At 35.8% G+C, this 26604-nt stretch overlaps 1 protein-coding gene across 18 annotated transcripts in view; it reads right to left on the bottom strand.

The window, feature by feature from the left end:
* Nucleotides 1-26604, bottom strand: part of RYR2 (ryanodine receptor 2) — a 791805-nt gene that overhangs the window by 470253 nt on the left and 294948 nt on the right. For 17 of the 18 annotated variants that reach the window (XR_007062490.1, XR_002957299.2, XM_006711802.4 and 14 more), the window contains exon 4: nt 7751-7771. The exons of the other annotated variant lie outside the window; for it this stretch is intronic. Coding sequence is in view for 15 of the 17 variants with exons in the window: in XM_006711802.4 (XP_006711865.1) it covers nt 7751-7771 (21 nt within the window). In the remaining 2 variants the exon portion in view is untranslated. The remainder of the gene's footprint in view (nt 1-7750; nt 7772-26604) is intronic. 18 annotated transcript variants of the gene reach the window in all.

Here is a 26604-nt window from a genome sequence, read left to right as displayed (position 1 = left end):
CTACAAAACATAATGTGTACGTATGTGTGTGCATATGCAAATTTACAAATAACTTCATTTTTCTTTACACCTCTAAAGTTTCTTTGACTACTTATTCCTAGGAGAGTTACACAGATGAAAGAGTATGAAAAAGAAAACAATGATATATTTCCAAACTTAGGGCTGAATTTGTTGTCAGGTTGATGTCTAAGTCCTATGGAGAAAAGATACCATAGAGACACTAGTTGTAAGAAAAACAGCAAGGAAAAGTTTTCCAATATATATATTTGTAAATATTACAATTTTTCCCTGAAACATATTTACATAGTAATATGTATATTATTAAAGGGAAATTCTGTTGAGACTAATTTTTTCATTTTCAATATTACAATTTCAAGGAAAAATTGTAAAGAAGCTTTCATCCTTGGCTTAGAAAATACAGGCTGTTTAGTTACCTTTTTATAACTGATATTAATCATACATAATATCAGGAAACTTACTTTCCATGTTAAACTGACCAATCACATGTGACTCACTAATGGTAGAGATATCACTAAAGAATTAGGCAAAATCATTATTAAGCCTTAATTCAAAGAAACACAAAAACCTAACATTTTGGTACAGCACATGGTTTGTGAAGAGATACTTTCTTCATGAGATTTTTTTTTTTTTAATTAAGCTAGGTTTGGGAGATTTTCCTTCAGACAATTTTCTCAGCCTGATTTTGTCAGGTATCTAAGTTGAACCACTTTAAAAATGTAGTAGGTATTAACAAAAAAAAGAGTGGTCAGCCAAGTGACCGAGGTCTGCTATTCGGCATTGCTAAGTCATGTCTGACTGTAGGAAGAATAATACACAGAGGAGAGCAATCTGCATACACGACAAAATAGAATGAATACTGAAAAATAGCAAATGCTGAAATATCCTTCTGCAGAATGAGAAAGAAGAGCAGATGTAAGACACAAACATCACTTTCAAAAGATAATCAAGAACATGAAAGATTTGTGGTATTAGTGGCATTATTGACAATAACTTTCTGTACAAACCATTTCTTGTTCAAATTGGTTTAAGTGCTAGATATTACCAAAATTATAGCATCAGGAGACATTCAAAGGGATCGTTTAAGGGAAAAGAAGAAAGCAAAGCGCATTAAAACAAAAAAGATGAGTATATTAGTTTAATTCAATGTAAGCACTGCTTCTGTATGATAAAAGCAACAAACAGAAAAAGAATAACAACAAAAACCCTTTAAAAATTGATATGATGGAAAGTAGAAAAAAGAAACACATAAAGATAAATATTGAAGAAAGCAGCCTCTTTGGGTGTGGAGAATGTCGTTTTTGTGCTTACAATAAGTTTAGCAAATAAATTAACTATTTGATTTATTTCACTAATGAGAAGTTCAATAGACAAGAGCTAAAATTTCATTACACAAAATAGAGTAAGGGATGACTATATGGGCAATTATAGGACAGGCACGCAGCATGGATTCCAACGTGCTGTCTTAGAATTTTTTGGATGATGATTAATTTGCATAGAAACACAAAGGTGGAAATTTTAGTTCTTTAGGCTAAAACTGCAGATGTCAGTAACTCAGTGTCCCAGGTTTAGATTAATCCGGAATTGACACATCAGATGGAGCTCCAAATACAAGCAAAACCTGGGGGCACATGCCACATTAACATGGAAGCCAGGAAGAGAAATTGCTATTGCTACATTTTAACACATAGACGGCCCTGGGTGTCAAATGGATGACAAAAAGAAGCAGAATCATCTTTCGTCTGTAAGCATGAGCCACTCAGTGTAGTAGATCTAAAAGACCTAAGGCACTCTCTTAGCAAATGCAAATGATTATGAATAGAAAAACAAATCAAATAGCAATACTTTACTCTGAAAATTGCTAACAAATACTGGATATCAAGAGAATGCATATTTAATCTGTTCTTGGTGCAAAGAAGGAAACAATAATTCAGGTAATGTAGCAAAGCTCCTCTATTATAATGATGCCTTTCAGTTCAACCTTGACTTTTTAAAACTGGTATTTCAGTTTCATGAGCTAAAAACTGATTTTTAAAAAGGAACGCTTCTAAAAACCTACCTTAGAACTTTTAAAAGAAACTGTTATTGAAATGTCTCCTCAAAAATTATATAGATAAGGATTTAGTGACAAAGCACCATACATTTGGAGGCTTGCCATTAAAAAGGATTATCAAATGCAACAATTTCAGAATAGCCTCAGAAGTCATTCTAGCGTGAAGTTTCCATTAAGGAGGCAAAATACCCTACTCTGTACACAAAATATACATCAAATTTAAGCCTTTTCGCCATCTTTTCCTCTCCACGTATCAAGATGCTAGGATTCTCCATAAGTCTCCAACCGGTAACCTCTCCTTTGTGAGGAAATATCAGGTAAACTTCATTATGTTGAGAAAACAAAGTGATTTCACCACCAAAGACTAGGATTTCTAGGTAGCTATAGTTAATTAATGATAGTCCCAATAATTTTTAGAATAAAAAAATTAACAACAATTCTGAGTTCCAAATATCAATATATACTACCTAATAGCATATGAGGTTGAAAAGCTTCAACTATCGCTCTTATGATGAAAATATGTGTCTGGGTGCAGTGGCTCATGCCTGTAATCCCAGCACTTTGGGAGGCCAGGGCAGGAGTATCTGCTTGAGCCCAGGAGTGCAAGACTAGCTTGGGCACCATAGTGAGACACTGTCTCTACAAAAAATTAAAAAGTTAGCCAGGCATGGTGGCACATGCCTGTAGTCCCAGCTACTCAGGAGGCTGAGGTGGGACTATCACTTGAGCCACGCTCCAGCTTGGGTGACAGAGCAAGACCCTGTCTTAAAAAATATCTATATAAATCCTATGGAAATGCTTCACTTTCCAGGATTCCCCTGCTAAAAATGTCCAAGATGCTCTGAAAAGACAGACATATTGATTACAGGTACAGAAATCATCTGAAAGAGGCTTGTCCACCAGTCCATGAATGAGCAATTATACACATAATAATACATTCTATTGAAATGCCCTTGTGTCACTCATATTAATGACCATCACTGGAATCTAGTTATGTGAGATGCAGATATGTTTAAAAAGAATTCATTCTATTTTTCGGCAGATTTGTAGCAAGTTCTTTTTCAACCTATAAACAGCTCTGTACAGACAGTAGTTAAATGGAATGTCTTCTCTTTCGAGTATAATAAATTTGACATATATATGTACATACAATTATGTAGTTCTTCTTTAGAAGGGTAAAGAAAAATAAATGATTCCGATAAGCTACTATAAGTTCTCACACTTTATCTCTGTGACAGGTTTATAAAGCAAAGAGCTGCATAAATGCCTAAAACATGAAATAGAAGAGGTATCTAGGGCTTTCTTCATTTCCCAGCTTGTCTCGATAGAGAATTTCTCTAAATCAAAAGCAACACATTGATTTCTACAGAGGGCAAATGGATACTGATGTCTTGAAGACATACAAAGCCTGCCCTCTATTCAGATCATCACCTACACATAAAAAATTGCCCATGTCAGAATACAGAAGACTCCATATATTTTTAAAAACCATTTCAAACATGAATGAACCTTGATAGCTTGAAAGCATTTCGCAGGTTCTCACATAATAGCAGTCGTGTGTTAAAATGCATTTTTAAACAACTCTCCAGGTAGAAACATTTGAAATGATTATGGATTTTAACAATTACAACAGCATCATCATATTTTTTAAGAGAAAATACATGTGTAAGACATCACTCAGTCTATAGACAATGCTTCATAGACAACAATCTCACAGTCTATTTCATCCTTTTGCTTTCTTCACCCCACTCATGACCTGATTCCTAGGCCTCCACATTGGAAACCAATGGTATAGGTTAGAAAAGGGCTAGGAGTGGAGTAGATGGAAATGACCATTAGTTACTTTCTTATCCAGTACTCAGGAGTTTTATTCTCTTTTAAAGTGTAAAGAGCAGCATTTGATAACTCAGTGGGCTTGTGATTAAACAGATGCACAGCTGCTCAAAGAGACAGTGATGATGGAGAGAAGGAAGGAGATGAAGGCAGGAAGGGAATTAGGGAAAAGGGGATGGAGAGGGGAGGGAGAAAGGAGAAAGAAAGAGAAAGTGATTGATGGACCTTTGATGAAACTATCCAGAATAATGTTATCAGAAGATTTATACAGAAGCCATTTTAATTTTCATATATATTTAAGTTTGTAAGGCTCCCAAAGGTCTTAATCTGGTGGTGGTAAACGCACCCTAGACAAGCAAGTATAACAGAAGTTAAAACAGGTCACTGTCCCAAAACAAAACAATGACCAGTCTCCGAAGGGGATTTACAAGAAGGTCCCTGACTTAACAATGGTTCTATTTATGATTTTTCAACTGTACGACAATGTGAAAGTGATTTGCATTCAGCAGGAACTGTATTTTGATTACCCATACAATCATTGTATTTTTTACTTTCAGTATAGTATTCAATAAATTACATGAGATATTCAACACTTTAGTATAAAATAGGCTTTGTGTTAGATGATGTTGCCCCACTGTAAGCTAATGTAAGTGTTCTCAGCCCGTTTAAGGGAGGCTAAGCTAAGCTATAATGTTCTGTAGGTTAGGTGTATTACATGCATTTTTGGCTTACGATATTTTCAACTTCTGAAGGGCTTTTCAGGATATAACCTCACCCTAACTGGAGGAGCACCTGTACTATCACGTCCCAAAACATATTGTTATGCCACCTAAGCAGGGATGTCAAAGAGGGTGGCTGCAAATCCACTGGCTGCCCTTAGCTGACTGCCCACCCCCAGTGTATTATTAGAGGCCAGGCAGCAAAGAAATGGTTTCTTGGAGAGAAGTGCAGGTGGGCCTGGAATCCTGCCTGCCTCCCAAGCTTGCCCTCACTTCAAGCCTAGCAAGGGTAGCTTCAGGGATACCTGATATCCCTGGGAGCTGGGACACTGTAGACTGGTGTCTTACTATGCCTGGAGATTGAGAGGCAAAAGGCTGGGTGTAGTCCTACAGGGCTGCAACTGGGAAGTGACCACACTGCCAACAAGCAAATGGGGGCCATACTAGACAGATCCAGCTTGGGATTGTCTCAGAGGCCACCAAGAACTCCCAGGAAGAGTAAGGAATTGCCACTGACCAGCTAGTGGACACGCATTTGTCTGCAGCAAGAGAAGCTCAGGTCAGAGTTTTCTGGGGATAGAAGCTCCCCGAAAGACCAATGCCAAGCGCCCACAGAGAAAGTCAGCATTAGAAACCTGGCAAGCCCAGTGCATGACACTATGATCAAAGCAGACCTTTCCTGCCAAGCTTTCTCTTCTGTCTCCTTCCCACAGCACCTGAGAGTGGCAGACTCTCCAGGTACCAAGTAGGGCGTGAGGAACCCGGCGGGGCAAGCAAGAAACAGCTTCCCAGATATCCGTCCCTCCAGCTCGATTCCTGACAAGTTAACTTGAATTAGCTTCAAGTTCACCTATTATACAGATTTGGGCATTTTAATTACTGAAATGAGATCTGTATGACTTGAAATGTCTGTGGGGTATTTCACTCTTGGAATACGAGAAAGGTCAAGGGACCGGTTCTAATTTAACTCAAGGGGCAGAGAAGTACCAGCCCCACAGAGGAGTCTCAATAGTCCTGGGTTAGGTGGGTAGAGGGTTAAATTACTTTCTGTTGGCCTTCAAAGTCTACCTGTAACAGTAGAATTTCAAACTTCTAATGGCCAAAGCATAAGACATGAACTGGATAGGTCTTCAAAGAAAAAAAGAGCTCCAATCTAAAATTTGCTGCAACATTTACACATAGTGATCATCCGTGTTCTAAAACCCAGCAGAATCTTTTTATTATATGACTTCCAAATGAACATGTATTTTGGCATCAATATGTTTTAGCACTGACATGATAGTAATACTTAAGAAAAAAGGAGTAAAGCAGATTCTAGTCCTACAGACAAAGAGATTACGGCCAATAAAGAGGCTACATAAGATTATAAAGCCAGTCACTTGGCAAACTAAGCCTCAAGGTTTTTAGCTCAGAAAATATCAGAGATATTTCCTTAGAACTAGAAGGCAATCTCTACTGCAATGATTTACAAATAAACTTAATACAAATAAAAATAAATTATTATAGGAATAAGAAAGAAAAAAATTACACAGGCAGATCAAAAGTAACCAAATCCACAGAGGAACTGAAGGGAAGACTTTTAGACAATGGTGAAAAGGTGATTTTATTTACTGGCAAGTGCTATTTACAAAGTAAGTAAAAGCAGCTTGAGTGGTTGGTCAATACCAATCCAGATATGGCACAGAAATAGTGTAATGGAAGTGAAGGGATGCAAGGATGGGAAAAGACAGAGGGCTATGTTGTAGGATGCTGATATTAGGGAAGTGCAGGACAAAGAGGTGTCATACGTGTTCTGAGAAGGAAGCAGGCTTCCCTTACCAAGACAAGAAAAATGTGAATCTTGGATCAGCATTTTAACTATAGCCAAAGAGGAAGGTAGGAAATTTCAAAAACAAATAGTTGGTCAAAAGTAGTAGTAGTTCGGTTATAAAGAGAAATGAAGACTTCAAATTATTCTCAGCAATATAACATACAAGTCATAGTTTTCAAAGGTCATCAGAAATGGTAAATTAAAAAACAAGTTTCCTTGTCTTTAAAGGGCTAAAAAAAATTTAAAAAAAAAGACAAGAGAACATGAAATTGTTGGAAAACACTACTGAAAGGGCACTGAAAAGATGGCAAAATTCTCAAAATATTGCATCAAGAAAGTTGGATCCTAAAACCAGAAAAATAATGAAGATAAAATAAAGCCATCAGTTAAGTCAATCTTAAAGGATTCTTCATATAAGTCACAGAGCAAATACAAAAACATTTCAATAATGAAAAGCCTCACTGTTTTGCACTCTTGGGAGAAAGTGGAGTAGGAATATCAGTCTTGAGGAGACTTTAATTTCCATTCAGAATCCTGGTGTGTTAAGTATTGGAAGGTACCTTGGTGTATTTCCTCTCTCCTTTATTTTTTCCTAACAGATAAGGAAACCGAGACCAAAAGAAGCAATGTAACTTTTTGCACAACTTGTGACAATGTGGGCTCTAAGAATTAGCCTCCAGAATCCTGTAACTGCGTTTTTCTACATGGTCATTCACCTTCACTGCTTCAGATTATATAAGGCTGGGCATAGTGGCTCCTGTGTGTAATCCCAGCACTTTGGGAGGCTGAGGCAGAAGGATCACTTGAGTCCAGGAGTTCAAGACCAGCCTGGGCAACATAGTGAGACTCCATCTATACCAAAAAAAAAAAAAGGTTCTATGACTTTCTATGACTATATATATAATTGTCTTCTTCTACAGTACATGCAGAAATATAAGGACTAAGCAGTGGAATTTTGAGATTAAACAGTCAAGGTTTTTGTTTTTTGTTTTTTTTTGCAGAAGATATACAGACAGTATGAATAATAAACACCTTTCTGTTGGCCAGAAGCACATAATAATTACAAAATAAATTATATAAAAACTATGTGGTTCTAGGGATGGAAAGTACTTTAATATGCCCCATTTCAGATGAAGCAAAACCAGAAACATAAGGTTCTCATTAGAGACCTGTAAAACATGTGTTCATTACAACGAAGCAGTTAGTTTGAACACTAATAGTACAAGCCACACTAGGAAGCAAAATGAAAGATTAGAGGCGAGAGCAAGCATGCACTTTTAGATCACAATTTCTTTGCAAATACATGGAAACACATACCCATTTTTCCACATCAACTTGCTGTGGAAAGAAAAAGCCAAAATAAATAACAAACAAACAAATACCTAGCAATGTTTCAATTACTGTCATTTAAATGAATTGATATCAATTTGGTCCTTGCACCACAATCTACTTCCAATTCTAAAGCATAAAAAATTGTATTCAAGTTTTTCATTAACAACATTTAATCTCACCAAACAAAAAGAATTCAGTTAATTTAGCAATCAGAACTCAAAAAGACATTAGGCTGGAAATGCACCAGGTACATAAAATAATGATAATCCAATTTATTTAAAAGCAAACATGAACATTTCTCTAATTCTCAAACGTAATAGGCCTTCTGATTTAAGAACTACTACTCTCCTCTAATTATAAAAACTGATTTAATTAAAAAGATCAATTTAGAGACATAGTGTCTAACTACAGTTTCTCTCATGACACTTAAAGTAAAATTTCTCTTACTCTAATCTTTCTAGCATTTCATACAATTTCACAATATAAAGGCATGCCTTAACAAATAGTTCTGAAGTTATGTGGGAATCAAATTATTTTTTAAAGTTGTATTTATAAGTGAATGTTAGTCTCTTAATCATTATGTGGCTCTTTAAAACTTAAGTGACTATAATCATACCCACACTGTAAACAGAACAAACAAAAAAGCCATATGTCAACAAAGACTGTCTCTACAACGCCCTAGGATTCCTTGCAAATAAATCAGAATAAAAAATTTCAACATTGAGAGACATACTCAATCTCAAAGGTAAGTTTCCTTAACTCACCTCCCATCTATAGAATGTATAATTGGTGTCCTGTGGGAATTGTGGCTTGCTTCACACCCTTCATGTATGAAAGTTTATTTGTAATTTTTTTTCCTTAGAAAACTCATTAATTAGGTAAGAAGCTAATGCTACTTAGGCAGAAATCTTGGGCTATTAGCTAGGAATCTCCAATGCTCTGGCAAGCAAGCTTTTGGGAAGCAATATGCATAAAAAGCAACATACAGAGTGATTATTTCAAAAATGTTATAAAGTGATATTTAAAATATGAGCCTAAATAAACAGGCAGAATTTTATGAAGCCCTAATGAAATCCAATAGGTTACTTGTAACAGAGCATTTTGCCTTCTTTTGTAATTTACTTAGTTTTCAGAAAAATCTGTTCTAAACTTACTTCCTCCTTTGCATTTTACAAACACACTGTTGTTATTTAAGAAAAACACTTGACTGAACAGAAAGGCCTGATTTTCACTATACATTTTTCAAGATATTTTCTTGTTAGATAAAGCTGAAGATCTCCTTTTAAACATTAACTTATCGGAGTGATGAATCCATTCCTTTAGATCCTGGGGCAAACAGAAGCAAAAAAGGCATGTCCAGCACAGTGCAATTGTGCACTTTTCTACCTCTAAAAGGGCGAATTTTTATATTTATTCTCTTCCCCAAAAAAATCTAAAAAAATTAAATGACTTCCTTTTAATATTTATCAGGAAAATAGAATATGCCATATTTTTGGTGCTATTTTAGTGCATATTTAGTGCATATTTTTAGTGCTATCAACGATTATCAAAGACATTGTATTTTGCCATTATCAGGTTCACTTCTGCATGTCAGACATTCACACATGCATACACACACACACACACACACTCCCATCAGTGCAAAGATAAAGTTATGGGATTTTTTCAGAAGAAAGAATTTATAATCAAGAGTCATAGTTACTAATGATAGTAACAGGAGCTCTTTAATGTTCTATATTACAAAAGACACAGTTCTTCAAGGCGCAAGAATTAGGAGCAATAATGTAACAAACAGAATATCCAAATACCCAAAGAAAAGCTTAGCAACAGCATTGCTGGGAGTGAATTATCAGCTAGACACACAAGACAAGACAAATGGTCCACAGGGTTAAAAGACTGACTAACATACAATAAAGTTGTAATTATGCATAAGCAATGCAGAACGATTTCATGACACGTCTCTTGTTCTTGTTGACAAGAATCATTTAAATTCCTGCAAACGGTGAAAAGGAGAATGATTCAAATGGAGCTAATCAAGACAAGGAAATATAAAATTCACAGTAAACTTAACCAATTTTAGAATTTACGCAATTACAAACCCATAAAACATATAAGACAAAGGAACATTTTTTCCAAAAACTTGAATCAAGTATGTGGAATTTTAAAAATATATGTGGATTTTATTAAAGAAAATGACTATTTTAATATCTGCAGGAAATTACATTAAATATCTATCATATTAACACTAATAAAAAGAGCAATTTCATTTCAAAATTTCAAAATAAAAACAAAATTTCCCTTAAAAGAAACAACAGTTATTTAAACACCAACTTGATTTAGCAGAGAGGACATAAGAATCTAATATAAAAGTAATTATTTTTAAATTATATCACTATATGAAAGTCAGATAATTCAAATGACATCTCTATTTTTGCATTCTTTTTTTTTTTTTTTTTTTTCTTGAGACGGAGTCTCACTCTGTCACCCAGGCTGGAATGCAGTGGTGAAATCTCGGCTCACTGTAACCTCCGCCTCCTGGGTTCAAGCGATTCTCCTGTCTCAGTTTCCTGGATAGCTGGGATTACAGGTGCCCGCCACCACACCCGGCTAATTTTTGTATTTTTAGTAGAGATGGTGTTTCACCATGTTGGCCAGGCTGATCTCGAACTCCTGACCTCAAGTGATCCACCCATCTCGTGCATTCATATTTTAATTACAAATTTAGGGCACATAAACATGAACTATTCCATAAACTTTTTTAAAAAAAGTTTGCTTGCTTCTTTCAAATTGATTAACTTTATTTTACTGTTTAAGATGGATAATTCTGTTAAGTTAAAGCAGTTACCATGTGGCAGGCTTTGAGCCATACATTTTACATGTAATCTTATTATCTGCATTTTACATACTAGAAAACAAATGACATATAAATGTATCACACGCAAATCTTCAACAACAAAATAAAATGACACGAAGCTACTAAAGCTACTAAATTTTCTAGAAAGTTCATTATTTTGCCTTTCCCATGAAAGTTGCGACATACCTGGTATTGATTTTTTATGTAAGATGGTAGGGAGGGAGTTAAGAGTTGTCTCCTCACCCACCCTTGTATACCTATCCAAATGACCATTTATTAAAAAATAAATCTTTTCCCCATTAGCACTGCATTGTCACTTACTAATGCATCAAGACACAAATGTACAGATCTACTTATGAACTCTATCCTGCTCTATTTTTCTGTCTTTGTCCTAATACCCAACGGTCTTATTGTAACATTAAAATAAGTCTTGATATCCAGGAGTCAAAGACTCTAACCTTGTTCTTTTCTTCAAAGTTGTATTTGATAATCTTGCTCTTCTTCATTTAGAACTGGCTTTTCCAACTTTCATGCACACTAAAAGAAAACCTGCTGGGATTTTGATTGAGATTGCATTGATCTACCTGATCAATTGGAAGAGAACTGTCATCTTTGTAATATTGAGCCTCCCAATATATGAACATGGTATATTTATCCTTTTTTTAAGGTCATCTTTATTTTTCTCAAAATGTTTCTCAATTTTCTGTGTAAAGGTTTACACATCTTGTATTAGAGTTATTCCTAGGTATGTGTTGTTTCATTATACTAATATAAGTGAAATCACTTATTTTTATTTTGTAATTGCTTTTTACTAGAATATAAAAATATAACTGATATAACTGAATTTTTATAGTGAGCTGTGACTTTGCCAAGCTCATTTTTAATTCCAAAAGTATCCACTTTCCCCAACTTTATTCAACACTGCCTTGAAAGAATTCAATATTTCACCAGTTTTGCATTTGATAGATAATTTCTATCAGTTTAAGTAACTTTTCTTACATGCCGACTTACTAATATTACAATGAATAGGTGTTTAATATTTAAAAATGTTTTATAGTATCTGTTAAAATAAATATTTTTTTATCTTAATAAGGTAAGTGACAATAATTGGTTTTGAATCCCAACTTGGTTGTAATAGGCTATTGAGTTGATATGTCAATGGGATGGATTTCCCAATATTTTAATATTTTGTGGAGGATTTCTACACCTACAGTCCCTGATAAATATTAGTCTATACCTTTTTTTTTTTTTTTTTTTTTTTTGCATGGTCTTTGTCATAGTTTAGGATCAGGGTTATGTTGGCCTCATAAAATCAGTTGGGAAGTATTATGAAAGAGTTTAAGATTGGTATTATTGTTTCCTTATATGTTTGGTGGAATTAACCAGTGAGGCCATCTGGGCCTGGACTTCTTTGTGAGAAGGCTTTAATTATAAATTCATTTCATTTAATAAATATAAGACAGTTGATATTTCCCACTTCTAGTGTTAGGGTTGGTAAACTGTATTTCGCTAACACTATATTGTTTCTAGAATGTTTTAATTTCTTTGGAACAAAGCTAGTCACAGTATTCTCTTATTATCTTTTCATTGTTTGGAGGTTCTGCAGTGATTTCCTATTTTCATTTCTAATATTGTTAATTTTATATTCTCTCTTTTTCGTATTCAGTCTTTCCAAGGGCTCATCAATTAGTCATTTCAAAAATCCAGCTATTGGCTTGAATGATTTATATTTCTTTCTACTTCATAAATTCTGCTTTCTACATAAATTCTACTTCATAATTTCTTCTTTCTACATTTTCCAGGTTTAATATTTTCTTTTTGTCTTCTTGAGATATTTAGATAACTGATTATTCAGTTCTTCTTATGTATTTAGGGCCGAATAACTTCCTCTAATCAGTTTTAACTGTATCCACAGTTTTAACTGTATCCATGTTTTCCACTATTATCCAATTTAAAATATCTTATAATTTGCCATTTTGATTAACTCGTTGATTCATAGGCTTATGGATTTGCAATTCCTTTTGTTACTTATTTCTTACTGAATTATGTGATGAGAAAGGAATACACTCTTATTTCAAACCTTTGAAATTTGCTTATACTTCCTCCATAATCAATTTTGGTAAATGCTCCATCTGCACTTGAAACAAATGTGTACTTTCTCAGCATATGGTGCTGTGTTCTATAAATGTCAATACATATGTTAATTAATCATACTGTTCAGATTTCTATATCCTCATTCATTTATTTGCCTGATTATTGTAATACTGTGAGAAGGATGGTCTTATACATTGATTGTTGATTGAGATCTCCTGATAATTTTGTCAATTTTTGTTTTTATAAGCTTGAAAGCTATATCATTAGATTCATGTAAATTCAGAATTATTTTATTTTTCTTATAAACTGACTTTTTTTAACATAGGGAAATGTCCATCTTGATTTCTCGCAATACTTTCTGCCCTAAATTCTTTCTCAGAGGTCAGAGATATATATATATATATATATATATATATATATTTTTTTTTTTTTTTTTTTTTTTTTTTTTTTTGAGACAGAGTCTTACTTTTGTCACCCAGGCTGGAGTACAGTGGTGCGATCTCAGCTCACTGCAACCTCTGCCTCCTGGATTGAAGCTATTCTCCTGCCTCAGCCTCCCGAGTAGCTGGGATTGCAGGCACACACCACCATGCTTGGCTAATTTTTTGTATTTTTAGCAGAGACAGAGTTTCCCCACGTTGGTCAGGCTAGTCTTGAACTCCTGACCTCAAGGGATCCACTCACCTCCCAAAGTACTGGGATTACAGGCATGAGCCACAGCGCCCAGCCCTTTTCTCAGATATTAACATAGTTATACCAGCTTTCTTTAGATTCAACTTTACCACACATACAACTTTACCATCCTATAGCTTTTACTCTTTCTGTAAGACAGTCTTAAAGTATATCTCTGGTGAGCAGCATACAATTGCAGTTAATAAAATCTGACAATCCATGAATTTTGATTGAAGTATTTAGTCAATTAACATTTAGTTTTATTCTTAAAATATGAGTTTATATTTATTAGTTATATTTATCATATTTTCATATTATTTGTATTATATTGGTCTCATGTTCTCTTTATATAGCTTTATGGAAATATAATTTACATATCATAAAGTTCATTTATTTAAGGTACACAATTTCAATGCTTTTTGGTATAGTTACACAGCTATGAACCATCACCATAATCTAATTTAAGAACAGATTCAGCCCATATGTTACTTCTTTTCCCTCCTTTCTTCCTTCCTTTACATTAATCAAATATCTTGATATTGCATTTTTCCCTCTGGAAAGTTGTTGGTTATTCTTTCTTATTCTTTTGGTTAGTACCCTAGAGGTTGCATGGGCATCCATGACATTTAATAATCTTCCATTGTGATTAACTCTTTCATTATAAGTATAAATTAGTAACTTCACCTTGTTCCAGAAAAAGGATCTTTGAACATGGTTGACAATTTTATACTCTTCCACCTTTTGAGTTATTATCGTTATGCATTTTAATTGCACATATATTTTAAACCCCACAAGGCATTAATACGATTATTTTGTATAGTTAGCATTAATTTACATTTGGCCATATATTTACTTAGTCTTCTTTCCCTCCTGCATTTACTCTTTTCAGTCTGGTATCATTTCCTTTCTGCCTGAAGAACCCCATCTCCTGTATCTAAATTATCTCAATTTGTATGCGTCTGGAAATGTCTTTACTTCACTCTCACTTTTGAAGTATACTTTTATCTGGCTATAATACAGAGTTAGTGATTATTTTTCCTCACAACATTAAAGATATCATGCCTTTGTCTTCTGATTCAACTTTTTCTAATGTGTCATCAGGTATCAGTCTTATTACAGCTTTTAAATTTTGTTCCCTCCTCCAGTTACTTTTAAGATTTTTTATTTTTCTAGTTTTCAGCATTTTTACTATGGTAACCCAGTGTGGTTTTATAAGTATTAATATTCCTTAGGATTGACAGTAATCTTGAATCTCACTATTGTAGCTCCAAATCCATCACAGTTTGGGAATCCAGTTACTCGCATGTTAGATTTTATTACTACAGTTAATGCATCTTTTATGATTTTTTCCCTTTATTCTTAATGTTCTTTTCTCCACATAGGCCAGTCTGGATATTTTCAACTAATCTATTTTTCAGTTCATGAATCCTTTCTTCAACTATGTCCCAGCTGCTGTTAAACTAATCTTCTGAGTTCTTACTTTACTTACTGTGGTTTTCAGTGTTCGAATTTCCATTTGATTTTTTTCATTGTAGATTCCCCAATTGTTTTAAGGTCTGTGACTGATAATTCCAATATCTGGATCACTTATGGGTCTATTTCTACTGTCAGATCTTTTTTCTCTTGATCCTGACTCCTTACATGCCTAATAACACGTTTGACTGCACATCAGATACTGTGTTAAAATTTGTATACAAGCTAATTCTGTTTCTTCCTCCAGAAAAGATGTACCTACGGCTGGCAGCTAGATGATGGGCAGATAACACCAATTCAATGTGAGCTGAGTAGATTGAAGGCAGGTTTTCAGACTTAGCAAGACTTTAGTTCACCCTCTCTCCTAGTAATCATAACTTCCAAGGATTCCAACTGAGAGCCTGGAATGATTATCAAAACCCCTCCTCCTTAGCAACCACTGAAATACAATTTTTGGCCCCCCAGCACAAGATTAGGCCTCATGAGACATTATTAGTATTGTTTCATAGAATCGATAGTCACATCTTACTATACTGCTGAGCTTTTGATCTGCTTTCTGCTAAGCTTCTGAGCTTGTTTCCCAAAGGCTAATAACAGAAAAATGATCTGGAATAGTGGTGCATGCCAGTTATCCAAGCTACTTGAGAGAGGATTGCTTGAGCCCAGGAGTTCGAATCCAGCCTGGACAATGAGACCCTGTCTCGTAATAATAATAATAAAAACGTCACCACCAACAGAGAAATACCTCAAGGGGAAAGCCTCTTCAGAGTGTAAGCCTTATTTCTCTTTTTCCTTCAAGATCTTGTATCCTCAAATTCTGCCTACGTTGTCAGGCCAGAGATTACATAAACTTTGCAGGCTCCTCTGCCTTAATCTCTGCCCAAATGAATACTCAGCAAATGCCCCAAAGGGAAAAGTGGTATAAAAAATGTTAGACCTACCTCAGTGCACTTCTCTTACTGCTGGGATTTAGGTCTCTTCAAGTCCTCGCTACCTCAGAAGTTTCTAATGCCTCAATCATATTTCCTTTTAAATTTAATATATTCTGATTAAATCCTTTAAATTTAATCCTTTTAAAACTTCTGGTTTGGGGGAGGTTTGGGTGTTTTGCTTGTTTTTTGTTTTTCCCACAGCTGGAGTATTAGTCTACTAATAGACTAATACTATTTCTAGGTAGTATTTCCAGGTAGAAATGGAACTATTAAATTTTTCCTCTACATTTTTAAACGAGGTCTGATCCAAACAATAAAAGATTCAAAACAAGGTAAAAGTACATCGTTTCTGGCCTAGATGTTTTCTTCCCAACAAAACCCCAAATCCTTGGTGCCTAGGGATTTGTTAAGTATGTCGTCAAACTGTCATTTAGGACAGAATTAAATGAAATCCACATTATATACTTTTCATTAAAACATCAGCATTTAGATCAGTCAATTACATTTCAACAAGCAGTGAATTCATCCCGAAAGTAGAAAGGGAAAGAAACTAATATATATTGAGAACCTATTATTATACATATGTATTTTTCTTTATTTTTCCCTCTCTGTTTTTTCTGTTTGTTTGTTTTTGAGACGGGGTCTCACTTTGGTGCCCAGGGTGGTACAATCATAGCTCAGTGCAGCCTGGAACTCCCAGGTTCTAGTGATCCTCCCACCTCAGCCTCCTGAGTAGCTGGGACTACAGGTGCGCACCACCACGTCCAGCTAGTTTTTTAAATTTTTTGTAGAGACAGGGGTCTCTCTTTGTTGCCCAGGCTGCTCTCAAACTCTCAGCTTCAAGCAATCCTCCTGCCTCCCAAAGTGCTAGGATTATAGGTGTGAGCCACCATGCCCAACCTCTTTTCCATTTTCATACATGTTTACAAATAATAGAATCACAGACTCACAGGACCTCAAACTGAGGTATCTACCTAAATGTTCACAGGAGCAGACCAGGTACTTTTAAAATGAAAAATACAAAGCACTAAATTAGAACAGACAGACATGACATTAATGTGGGAGAATTATAAATAAAAAGAAAAGCATCTCTCCATACTGTAATATCATATGGGATTATGTACTTTAACGGCATGAGATCACAAAGTCTTTTCTCCATCAGTTCGAGAAAGAAATTTACCATAAGTGTAATTGAGCAAATGAAGCACAAAAGTAAGGCCAGTGATTGACTTAATTAAACATTAGCCCAATTTCCTAACTTTACTCTGGTTTTGCAGTATTAGGCAGAACTCTCCCAGTTTTTTTAGATCTGTCATACAATGAAGCCGACTCAGTACAATAAACTCAGCAATCTCATACACTAACACACATACAACTCAATACAAGGAAAGGGTTTAGAAATTTTATTCTTAAGTATAAATGCTTTCTTTTAAAATTTAAACTAGGTAATAAAGAACTAAGAGCTACTACTTCCTAAATTAATCTTACTTTAGAATAGGAACAGTTCATGTAATACTATTTCAATGTTTTCTGAATTTGTTCAAATCCTCAGGATATGCACTTTTTTTTTTTTTTTTTGAGGTAGACCCTCTCACTTTGCCCAGGCCGGAGTATAGTGGCAGTAGTAGCACTCACTTTAGCTTTGACCTCCCGGGCTCAAGCAATCTTCCCACCTCTCAGCCTTCCAGGTAGCTGGGACTACAGGCACGTTGCACCACACCTGGCTAATTATTTTATTTTTTTGTAGAGACAGAGTCTCGCCATGTTGCCCAGGCTGGTCTCGAACTCCTGGGCTCAAGTGATCTGCCCACCTCAGCCTCCCAAAGTACTGGGATTATAGGTATGAGCCACCGCACCCAGCCTGGATATGCACTAACTCAAAATTATCAATATCTCCTTTCTCTAAGTACAGAATACGTTAAAGTGGCTGTTGCATAAACCTTAATGTTAACAAATTCAAGTGGATGGATGGGTGCTAAGTAAATAATACAGTAAGTCTCTTCCATGGAGGCTACTTATCAGAATTACTAAGTTAAATTAAATACCACAAGTAATTTCATTTGGGAGATAAATAGTCAAGAAGAATAAGAACAATTTGGGGGTCAGGGGAAAAGAATGAGGGGGACTAATCTTAATATTAAACATTTCTAAAATACAGTGATAAATGTGGTATTAGACATAATAATAGATAGACTTTGTTAGAAAATATTCAGCTTAGAGTACCACCTCTAGGAATGTGTATTAGTTTAAATGTATGATTAAAAAGTCATCACAATAAATATAAGGAAAGAAATCATCAGTCATGAATAATGATGGAACTTTTGCTTAGCTAAAATTAATAGAAAAAAATCAAGTTGATTACTACTCTTAAATAAATTCCAGCTCATGTAATACTGTTTCAGTGTTTTCTGAATTTGTTCAAATCCTCAGGATATGTACATAGTACATATATATATTTTTTTTTATTTTTTATTTTTTATTTTTTATTTTTTGGCAGAGTCTCTCTCTTTCACCCAGGCTGGAATATAGTAGCACTCACTTCAGCCTTGACCTCCTGGGCTTAGATCTATTATGAATAATAAATTTCATATAATAAAGTCTTACATTTTAGATCTATATACTATGAAAAACTGGCAGGTACACAGAGGAATACAGAAAAATTTTTACACATTCTAACAAGTCAGTGCATCCCAATCAAAATCTCAGCAAGTTATTTTGTAGATTTTTACAAACTGATTTTAAAATTTATATGGGAAGGCAAAAGACCCACAATAATCACAACATTGGAGAAGAACAAAGTCAGAGACAGACATTATGTAACTTCAAAACTTACTACAGGCTGGGCGCAGTGGCTCACACATGTAATCCCAGCACTTTGGGAGTCCGAAGTGGGCGGATCACGAGGTCGGGAGATGGATTCCATCCTGGCCAACAAGGTGAAACCCCGTCTCTACTAAAAATACAAAAATTAGCTGGGTGTGGTGGTGCGCACCTGTAGTCCCAGCTACTCAGGAGGCTGAGGCAGGAGAACTGCTTGAATCCGGGAGGCAGAGGTTGGTTGCAGTGAACCAAGATGGTGCCACTGCACTCCAGCCCAGTGACAGAGCGAGACTCTGTCTCAAAAAATAAATAAATAAATAAAAAAGACTTACTATAAAGCTACTAGTAATCAAGACAATGTGGTGTTGGTTAAAGAATGGACATTGAACAAAACCATATTCTAATGTAAATAAAATGTATAAAATACATACCAAATAATCACTATATAAAATGAGAGACAAAAATAAGAAAATGTGAACACCCAGTGATAAGGAACTCTACGAGTAGAAATATTACTTCTGGCTGGGAGCTTCATGAAAGTGTTTAAGGAAGACAACTCCTTGGACATTTGCAGAGAAGCGAGGGGTGGTAAACTTTTGAAAGGCTCAGAATTCTAGGTTGAGGAATTAGTGTAGTAAGAATGTGGAGAATATATACCTGAATTAAGTGTAGCATATTCAGGGAGTGAGTTCAGTTTGGATAGAGAACGAATAGTATAAAGAACTAATTGGAGCCAGAAATAAAGAAAGGTTACAGTTTTAGATTCCTTTGTAAGAACTGAGGTCACAGGATAGCAGTTAAATTAGGAACGGTCTGCTGGAGGGACAGCGTGCAATAGTTACAGACAAGTTAAAGACCTAGATCCAAGAAGACATCATCAAGGCAGCCCCCGGCAAAACGCCATGAGAATAATCCGATCATTAGCTGGATTCACCCAGCTGCACATATTTCTTCCTAACCAATGCTTGAATAGTTTCCCGAGGAACTAAAAACCCCTTATGGGGGCCAGGCGTGGTGGCTCACGCCTGTAATCCCAGCACTTTGGGAGGCCAAGGCCGGCGGATTACCTGAGGTAAGGAGTTCGAGACCAGCCTGGCCAACATGGAGAAACCCCATCTGTACTAAAAATACACAAAAATTAGCCAGGCGTGGTGGTGGGTGCCTGCAATCCCAGCTACTTGGGAGGCTGAGGCAGGAGAATCGCTTTAAACCAGGAGGCAGAGGTTGCAGTGAGCCAAGACCATGCCATAGCACTCCAGCCTGAGCAATGAGAAGTAAACTCTGTCTCAAAAAAAAAAAAAAAACAAAAAACCTCTTATGGGGAAACTACATACAAATCAACAAAACTTAAATATCTGTATCATTAGTACCATCCACATCAAATCCATGCTGGAGCTTTAGAGCCTGTACCTCAAGAATCAATAAATGATATAATTAATTTCCTTACATGTCATATAATTGTCATTCACACAAATACTTCTATTCTGGAAACTATTAGAAACAAAACTTCCAGTCCATGACTGTGTAAAGATAATCACTATTTTTAATCGCTGACCTTGGTACATTGTTTCTATTTCTTCATCTGAAAAAAAAAATCACTTATTGAGTGTTTATACACTACAATGCACACGCTCCATTTATGTCCTATTCTGGAAGAGGCCTCTGTAGCAATTCAGCTCGCTCTCACTATTTACTCTACACAGAATCTAGAACGTGGTTACTCATCATATATCAATAGAGTGAACAAATGCAATTAACACCAGCTTATGAAGTATTTAATTTTGCTGGTTTAGCTGCTGTTTCTTCTGTGATCTCTCGTGTTATTTAACTTTCATTTAGCTTTATCTTTGCATTGTCCAATCTCATTCATTGTTGTGTGAGATTTGGGATGCTTTTTTTTTTTGAGACAGCATCTCGCTCTGTCACCCAGGTTGGAGTGTAGTGGCACAAACACAGCTCACCGCAGCCTCGATCTCCCAAGCTCAAGCAATCCCACCACCTCAGCCTCTGAAGTAGCTGGGTCTATAGGTATGCTGGCTATGGCTATTAGCCACCATGTCCAGCTAATTTTTTTTATCTTTTGTAGAGACAGTGTCACCACGTTGCCCAAGCTGGTCTCAAACTCCTGGGCTCAAGTGATCCTCCCACCTCAGACTCCCAAAGTGCTTGCATTACAGGCGTGGGCCACAGCGCCTGGCCTACTTTTCTCTTTTGTCAGATACTGCAAGGCTTTCAATATGTTCTTCTTGTCTCACATATGGCTCACATTTTCCAGGGCTATGGAAATCAGTGCGCGGCAATATTAGGCCCATTCTGTGTGTTCTTGCTGCGCTGCTCTTTGTACTTTTTTCAGTGGTCTAAGGACAGTTCTAAGGTTTCTGGTTCCAGCAAAGGACCCTTCTACAGTTCCACGTGGTCTTAAGACTTAATGCTTCACCAGGAAGTCATGGGTCACATGTGGCCTGATCTCAGAAGCCACATGAAAGTAATCAGTTTGTACTACGAGTACTGACCTCATGCTCACTCTCAGAATGTTCCATCTGGTCTCTGTAATCCTCAAGTTATGTAGATCCTGCTGGTCTTTGCCCTTCTCTCACACTTCAGGGATTACTTGCAAAAAAGTGTATCTTCTCAGAATGTGTGACTGCAACAATCACTAAAGAGGTTGTATGAGTGGGGTGAGGTGGCTCACACCTGTAATCCCAACATTTTGGGAGGTTAAGGTGGGAGGATCACTTAAGGTCAGGAGTTCAAGGACAGCCTGGGCAATATACCAAGAACCTATCTTTACCAAAAAAAAAAAAAAAAAAAATTAATTAGCCAGGCATGGTGGCTTGTGCCTGTGGTCCTGGCTACTCAGGAGGCAGGAAGATCCCTTGAGACCCAGCATTGGAGGCTGCAGAGAGCTATGATCATACCACTGCACTCCAGCATGGATAACAGAGCAAGAATTAACTCAAAAAAAAAAAAGGAAGTTATTTAACTCAACAAAAAGGAAGACTTCTTTTAAGTCTTCAAATCAGAGATGAAATACAAGATTTTGTATGCGTGCATATTATTTGTATTGCCTTCTGTAAATAGATTCTATAAGTTTTATCTGATTCACAAAGACACCATGACTAGGGATAACCATGTAATTTCTCATCCAGACTGGGACACTTTGGACAACGAAAGGGGGAACTAATAGTGATTATGCTGTGACCACAGGTATTAACCTGGACTGTGTCAGGCAAATGAGGATGGAGGATTACCGAACCCAAAAGGTTATTTTCTGACTTTTCCTTTCAAAAACATTCCTTTTCTCCCACAATAGAGAGGCAATTCAAAAACAGCTGTATTTAACAGACAAAAAAGCTCTATCATATGTTCAAAACTGTTACTACAGTAGCAGAAACAGAATTTTTGGTACTTTTCAGCCCCTTGATTTTGGTCTATAAATTCCATCTTGCAGTCCCTCCAGTCAGCAAATATTTCCTTACTACCTAGTACATAACATGCATTGTCTTGGATGTTAGTGGTATAGCAAGCGAATACCACAGACCCAAAGACCTGCATTCCTGAGATTTACACTCTAATGGGGATAGGAAGGCAATAAACAGACCGCGAATACATAGTCTTCAGAAGGTGTTCAGTGCTTTGAAGAAAACACACCAAAAAAATGCAGGAAGGAGTGTTAATTGTTGTTTTTGCTTTTGTGTTTGTTTTTTGGGGAGGATATTGCACCATTGCACTCCAGCCTGGGTGACAGAATGAGACTCTATCTCAAAAAAGAAAAATGTTTGAGAATGGCTGACTCAATAGGTTCCACATATCTTTAAGTCACTCATAAATTGCAGAATAGTTTATTAAGATTGAATCAGAAATATGCCATGTCATTTATTTGCTATCATATGTTTACAAATGAAAATTTTTTCTATTATAAACACACACAAATAGCTGAGGAAGATGTCCAAATTGAATGAGACTAATCAAATAAAATAATCTATACATTTAAGATTCATAATCTAAAACAGTGCCTAACTACGCCACTGTGATTAAATTACATCCTGCTTAAATTGACGTCTTTATTGAGTTTGATGACAGAGTCTGGAAACCACGTCATTCAAATACTTAGAAATATGGAATATCCTTGGCTTCTGAGTAGAAAGTTGTCTTTCTAGAAACAGAAAGGCAGTAAAACTGAAAGATGCATCTTTCAACCACAGACAAATTTCCACATTCACCTAAGTGACAGATGGATAATTGTTGCTCAGTGAATATTTTTAGCTATGAACCCTTCAAGAGATTATAATCACATTCACCATTACATCACTGCATCAATTTTGCAGATGACAGGTAGGTAAATATTTATATACAGAGGCTTTGGACAAGATGCTGGCTAAATATTACATTAATTAGTAAATTTGTGAATTTATTGGCATTATAATCTAATTATTGAAGTACTATTTATGCTTTACCAAGGATGTTCTTCAATAGGTAGGTAACAGAACACAGCCTCTTAAAATAAGGTTAAGTTAGACTAGATATTTGAGAATAGAAGTTTCAGATATAAATAGCTAGTAGCATCGTATTGTCTACAATATAAACACACACTAATCCATTCAGCATTTCACAGTTATGAGGACGTACAAGGGGAGAGTGTTGGGTAGGTAATTAGATCTCTTCTCTGCTCTCTGATTGAACTATTTACTATGAAAGCAGATTCATACCACATTATATTTATCTTCTCTCTTTATTATTAGATTGCTAAGATTCTCAAGAGCAAGGAGGCATTGTTATTCATACCTGTCCCCCTAGCTCCAGAATGCACAAAAGCAACTCAATCTATTTTTGTTGAATGAACACTGTACGAATGAGACAGGTGGAGAATGGACATGCGCTTTCTATTTCTTGGTCATGGAGACACCTGAGCACAGAGTTGGATTTGTTTTCATAGGCAAAGATTTTACTTGTTGGTCCTAGTTTGGCTCAAGAACATGGAGGGTCCCAAATATAAACATTTCCAGTGAAAGCATACAGATGCTAACTATGTATCTGCTATATGATGTAGCAGACAATGTTAGAAATTATCTGACCTTCATTTTCACATGCAGTTCTCTTCCTTCTCCCAATAAAAGAACCTAGTTCTTCAAAGTATCCTTCCCTATTGCCATCCCCATGGTCGGAGCCAGTTGTGCTGGCCCCATTTTCTCTTGCGAGTAAATAAATTAGCTATGGGTGTGTGACAATGGGTATGAGGGAAATTCTGCCAGGGAATTCCTGGGGAAAGTGCCTTGCTTTTAGAAATAAAGAAAGTCAGCTCCTTTTTGTGCCTATAGATGATGTTGCCTTTGGATATCATCCCTGAAATTCCTACAAGGTATCCTGTAATCATGAGGGAAGCTAGCCTGTGAACCAAGCAAACACAGAACAGGGCAAAGAGAACTACAGAAATCTCACCTAGAGCTTGGATCAACTAAATCTGAATCTTCTCTTCCTCTGGACATTTTGTGTCCTGATTTTTTAAAAACCATATATAATTAGGTGGTAAAAGATGACAAGACAGTATATGATTCCATTTATATAATAATATTTTTATGTATAAAGTTATAGATGGCTATATACTAATCTTTTAGCTGTGGTTATCTTAGGGGGGAATGAGGACTATGAAGAGGGCATTTTTATTTTATACTCATATATTACTGTTATAAAAATAAAACATTTCAATGATTTAGAATTTAAATTTAAGTATATTTGCATATTGCATGCATAATAGACACTAATTACTTTTAACAATAGCATTAATTAAAAATAACTAAATAAACAAATGAAGATATATATAAATGCTCAATTTGTTGAGTTCTTATCATATTCCAAGCAGGCATCTTCCTGAAACACAAATAAAACATGATGAGTGTGGTATTATTTTTCTTTGTTAATAGGAGCCTGTTCATTCTTTGGCTATAGTCTCTTCAGTGGCAGGTATCTCTACATTTACACTATTTAAAGTATGGTCACAGTTTTACATACTAATTCTGTATTTTAATGGAGTTTAATTCTGTATTTTACAGAATTAAAATACAGAAGACTTATACAGAGACTTAATGGAGACTCATACAGAGCATATTTGAAAATGGATGAACATCAAGTGTTAAACCTCATTTTTTTCCAGTGAGTCATTAGCCCTGCCATTTGAGAAATTTACTTTTAATAATATACAGAACACAATTTATATCATATGAACTACAAAATTCATCAACTCCTTTTCCTCCACATTACCCCAATGTGCTTTAATGGAAAGAAATCATTAATATAAAACTCAACTAGCGTGGACACAACATTAACTCTTTTCATTTTGATCCTTGATCTATCTGCCCTAAAGCTTGAACAAAAAAGGCTTTACGATGTAGTGCCTCTGAGCAGATACCATAATACCAGAAGAATGAGGATGTAAAAGAAATATGAAGATCTACTGTTGGAACTGTGACCATACTTCAAATACTGTTACCTGACACAGAAGAGACTATAGCCAAAGACTGAACAGGCTGCTATTAACAAAGAAAAATAATACCACACTCACTATTTTGTATTCATGGCTTAGGAAGATGCCTGTCTGGAATACGATAGGAACTCAACAAATTGCATTTATATATATCCTCATTTTTTTAGTTATTTTTGATTAATGTTATTGTTAAAAGTAATTAGTGTCTACTATGCATGCAATATGAAAATATACTTAAATTTAAATTCTAAATCATGTGATTAACTACTGGAAACTCAGAAAACCTTCAGAGAATGAAGCCCGTTAAATACAAAATGTATGTGAATCTATAAATTGGTATGTACATAAGACAGACTGAAATTCCTATTGATCGGTTTGCAAGAAAATCAGGCTCCTGTCAAATCAAAAAGTAGACTTTTCAGTCATTTTTCAACTAGATTGTTCTGACTTCCATTTGATCTTGTCAATAACATCTTACTCGAGCTCAGCACATCCATGATAGGGTAGCCCACATAATGGCACACCGGAACCATCCACATCCTAATCCCTGGCACCTGTGACGATGTGACATGGTAGGTCACTGCTGGCTTTGAGGGTGGAGGATGGGTCACAAGCCAAGAATGCAGGCTAGAAAAGGCAAGGAAACAGATTTTTCCCTAGAGTCCCTGGAAGCAATGCAGTGCTGCCAACACCCTGATTTTAGCCAATGGAGATTGATTTTAGACTTGTGACCTCTAACGCTAGAAAATAATAAATGTATGTTGTTTTAAGCCACCAACTTAGCGGTAACTTGTAAAGGCGGCCATAGAGCAACTATAGCTAGGGGCTTCAGGTAATTGAAGGTTTTATTATTGTGGGTGTAGTTTTGTTTTTGTATTTTGTCCAGAGATTATAGTTATTTTCTTCAGAAGGATCAGATCTGATAGGAGCTTACTCAGGCATACTCAATGCAGAGACCATCACAATGATGACAGCATACTCATAGTGCTTCTTGCATGCCACGATTGTTCTACACACTTTACTTATATTATTTGATTCCCACAACAAAGGGAGATGCTATTATTTTCCCCACATTATAAATGAGAAAATTGAGGCACAGAAAGGTTAAGTCACTTATGTTACCAGGAAATGAACTCAGGGAGTTTGTACTATAATCTATGAGCTTTAACCACTATGAGATAATACACAGATCTTCTTCATCTTTTGCTCTTGCATTTATATAAAATGATCTTAGATGCAATTACTTGTGTGAAATTGGAGCTTCAGTGTTTGATAAATGTACTTTTAAAAAGTAATTTATGGGGCTTCAGTGCTTCACAAATGTATTTTTTTAATTTATTTACCAGTAAATTTAGCCAGTTGCTTCCCACTGCATTTTTTTTTTTTTTTTTTTGAGATGGATACTCGCTCTGTTGCCCAGGCTGGAGTGCAGTGGCACGATCTGGGCTCACTGCAAAATCCGCCTCCCGGGTTCAAGTGATTCTCGTGCCTCAGCCTCCCAAGTAGCTGGGAT

Source organism: Homo sapiens, chromosome 1 (assembly GCF_000001405.40).
Source record: "Homo sapiens chromosome 1, GRCh38.p14 Primary Assembly".
Taxonomy (NCBI): Eukaryota; Metazoa; Chordata; class Mammalia; order Primates; family Hominidae; genus Homo; species Homo sapiens.
Note: the sequence above shows the minus strand (reverse complement) of the source record. Positions and strands in the feature narration are given on the sequence as shown.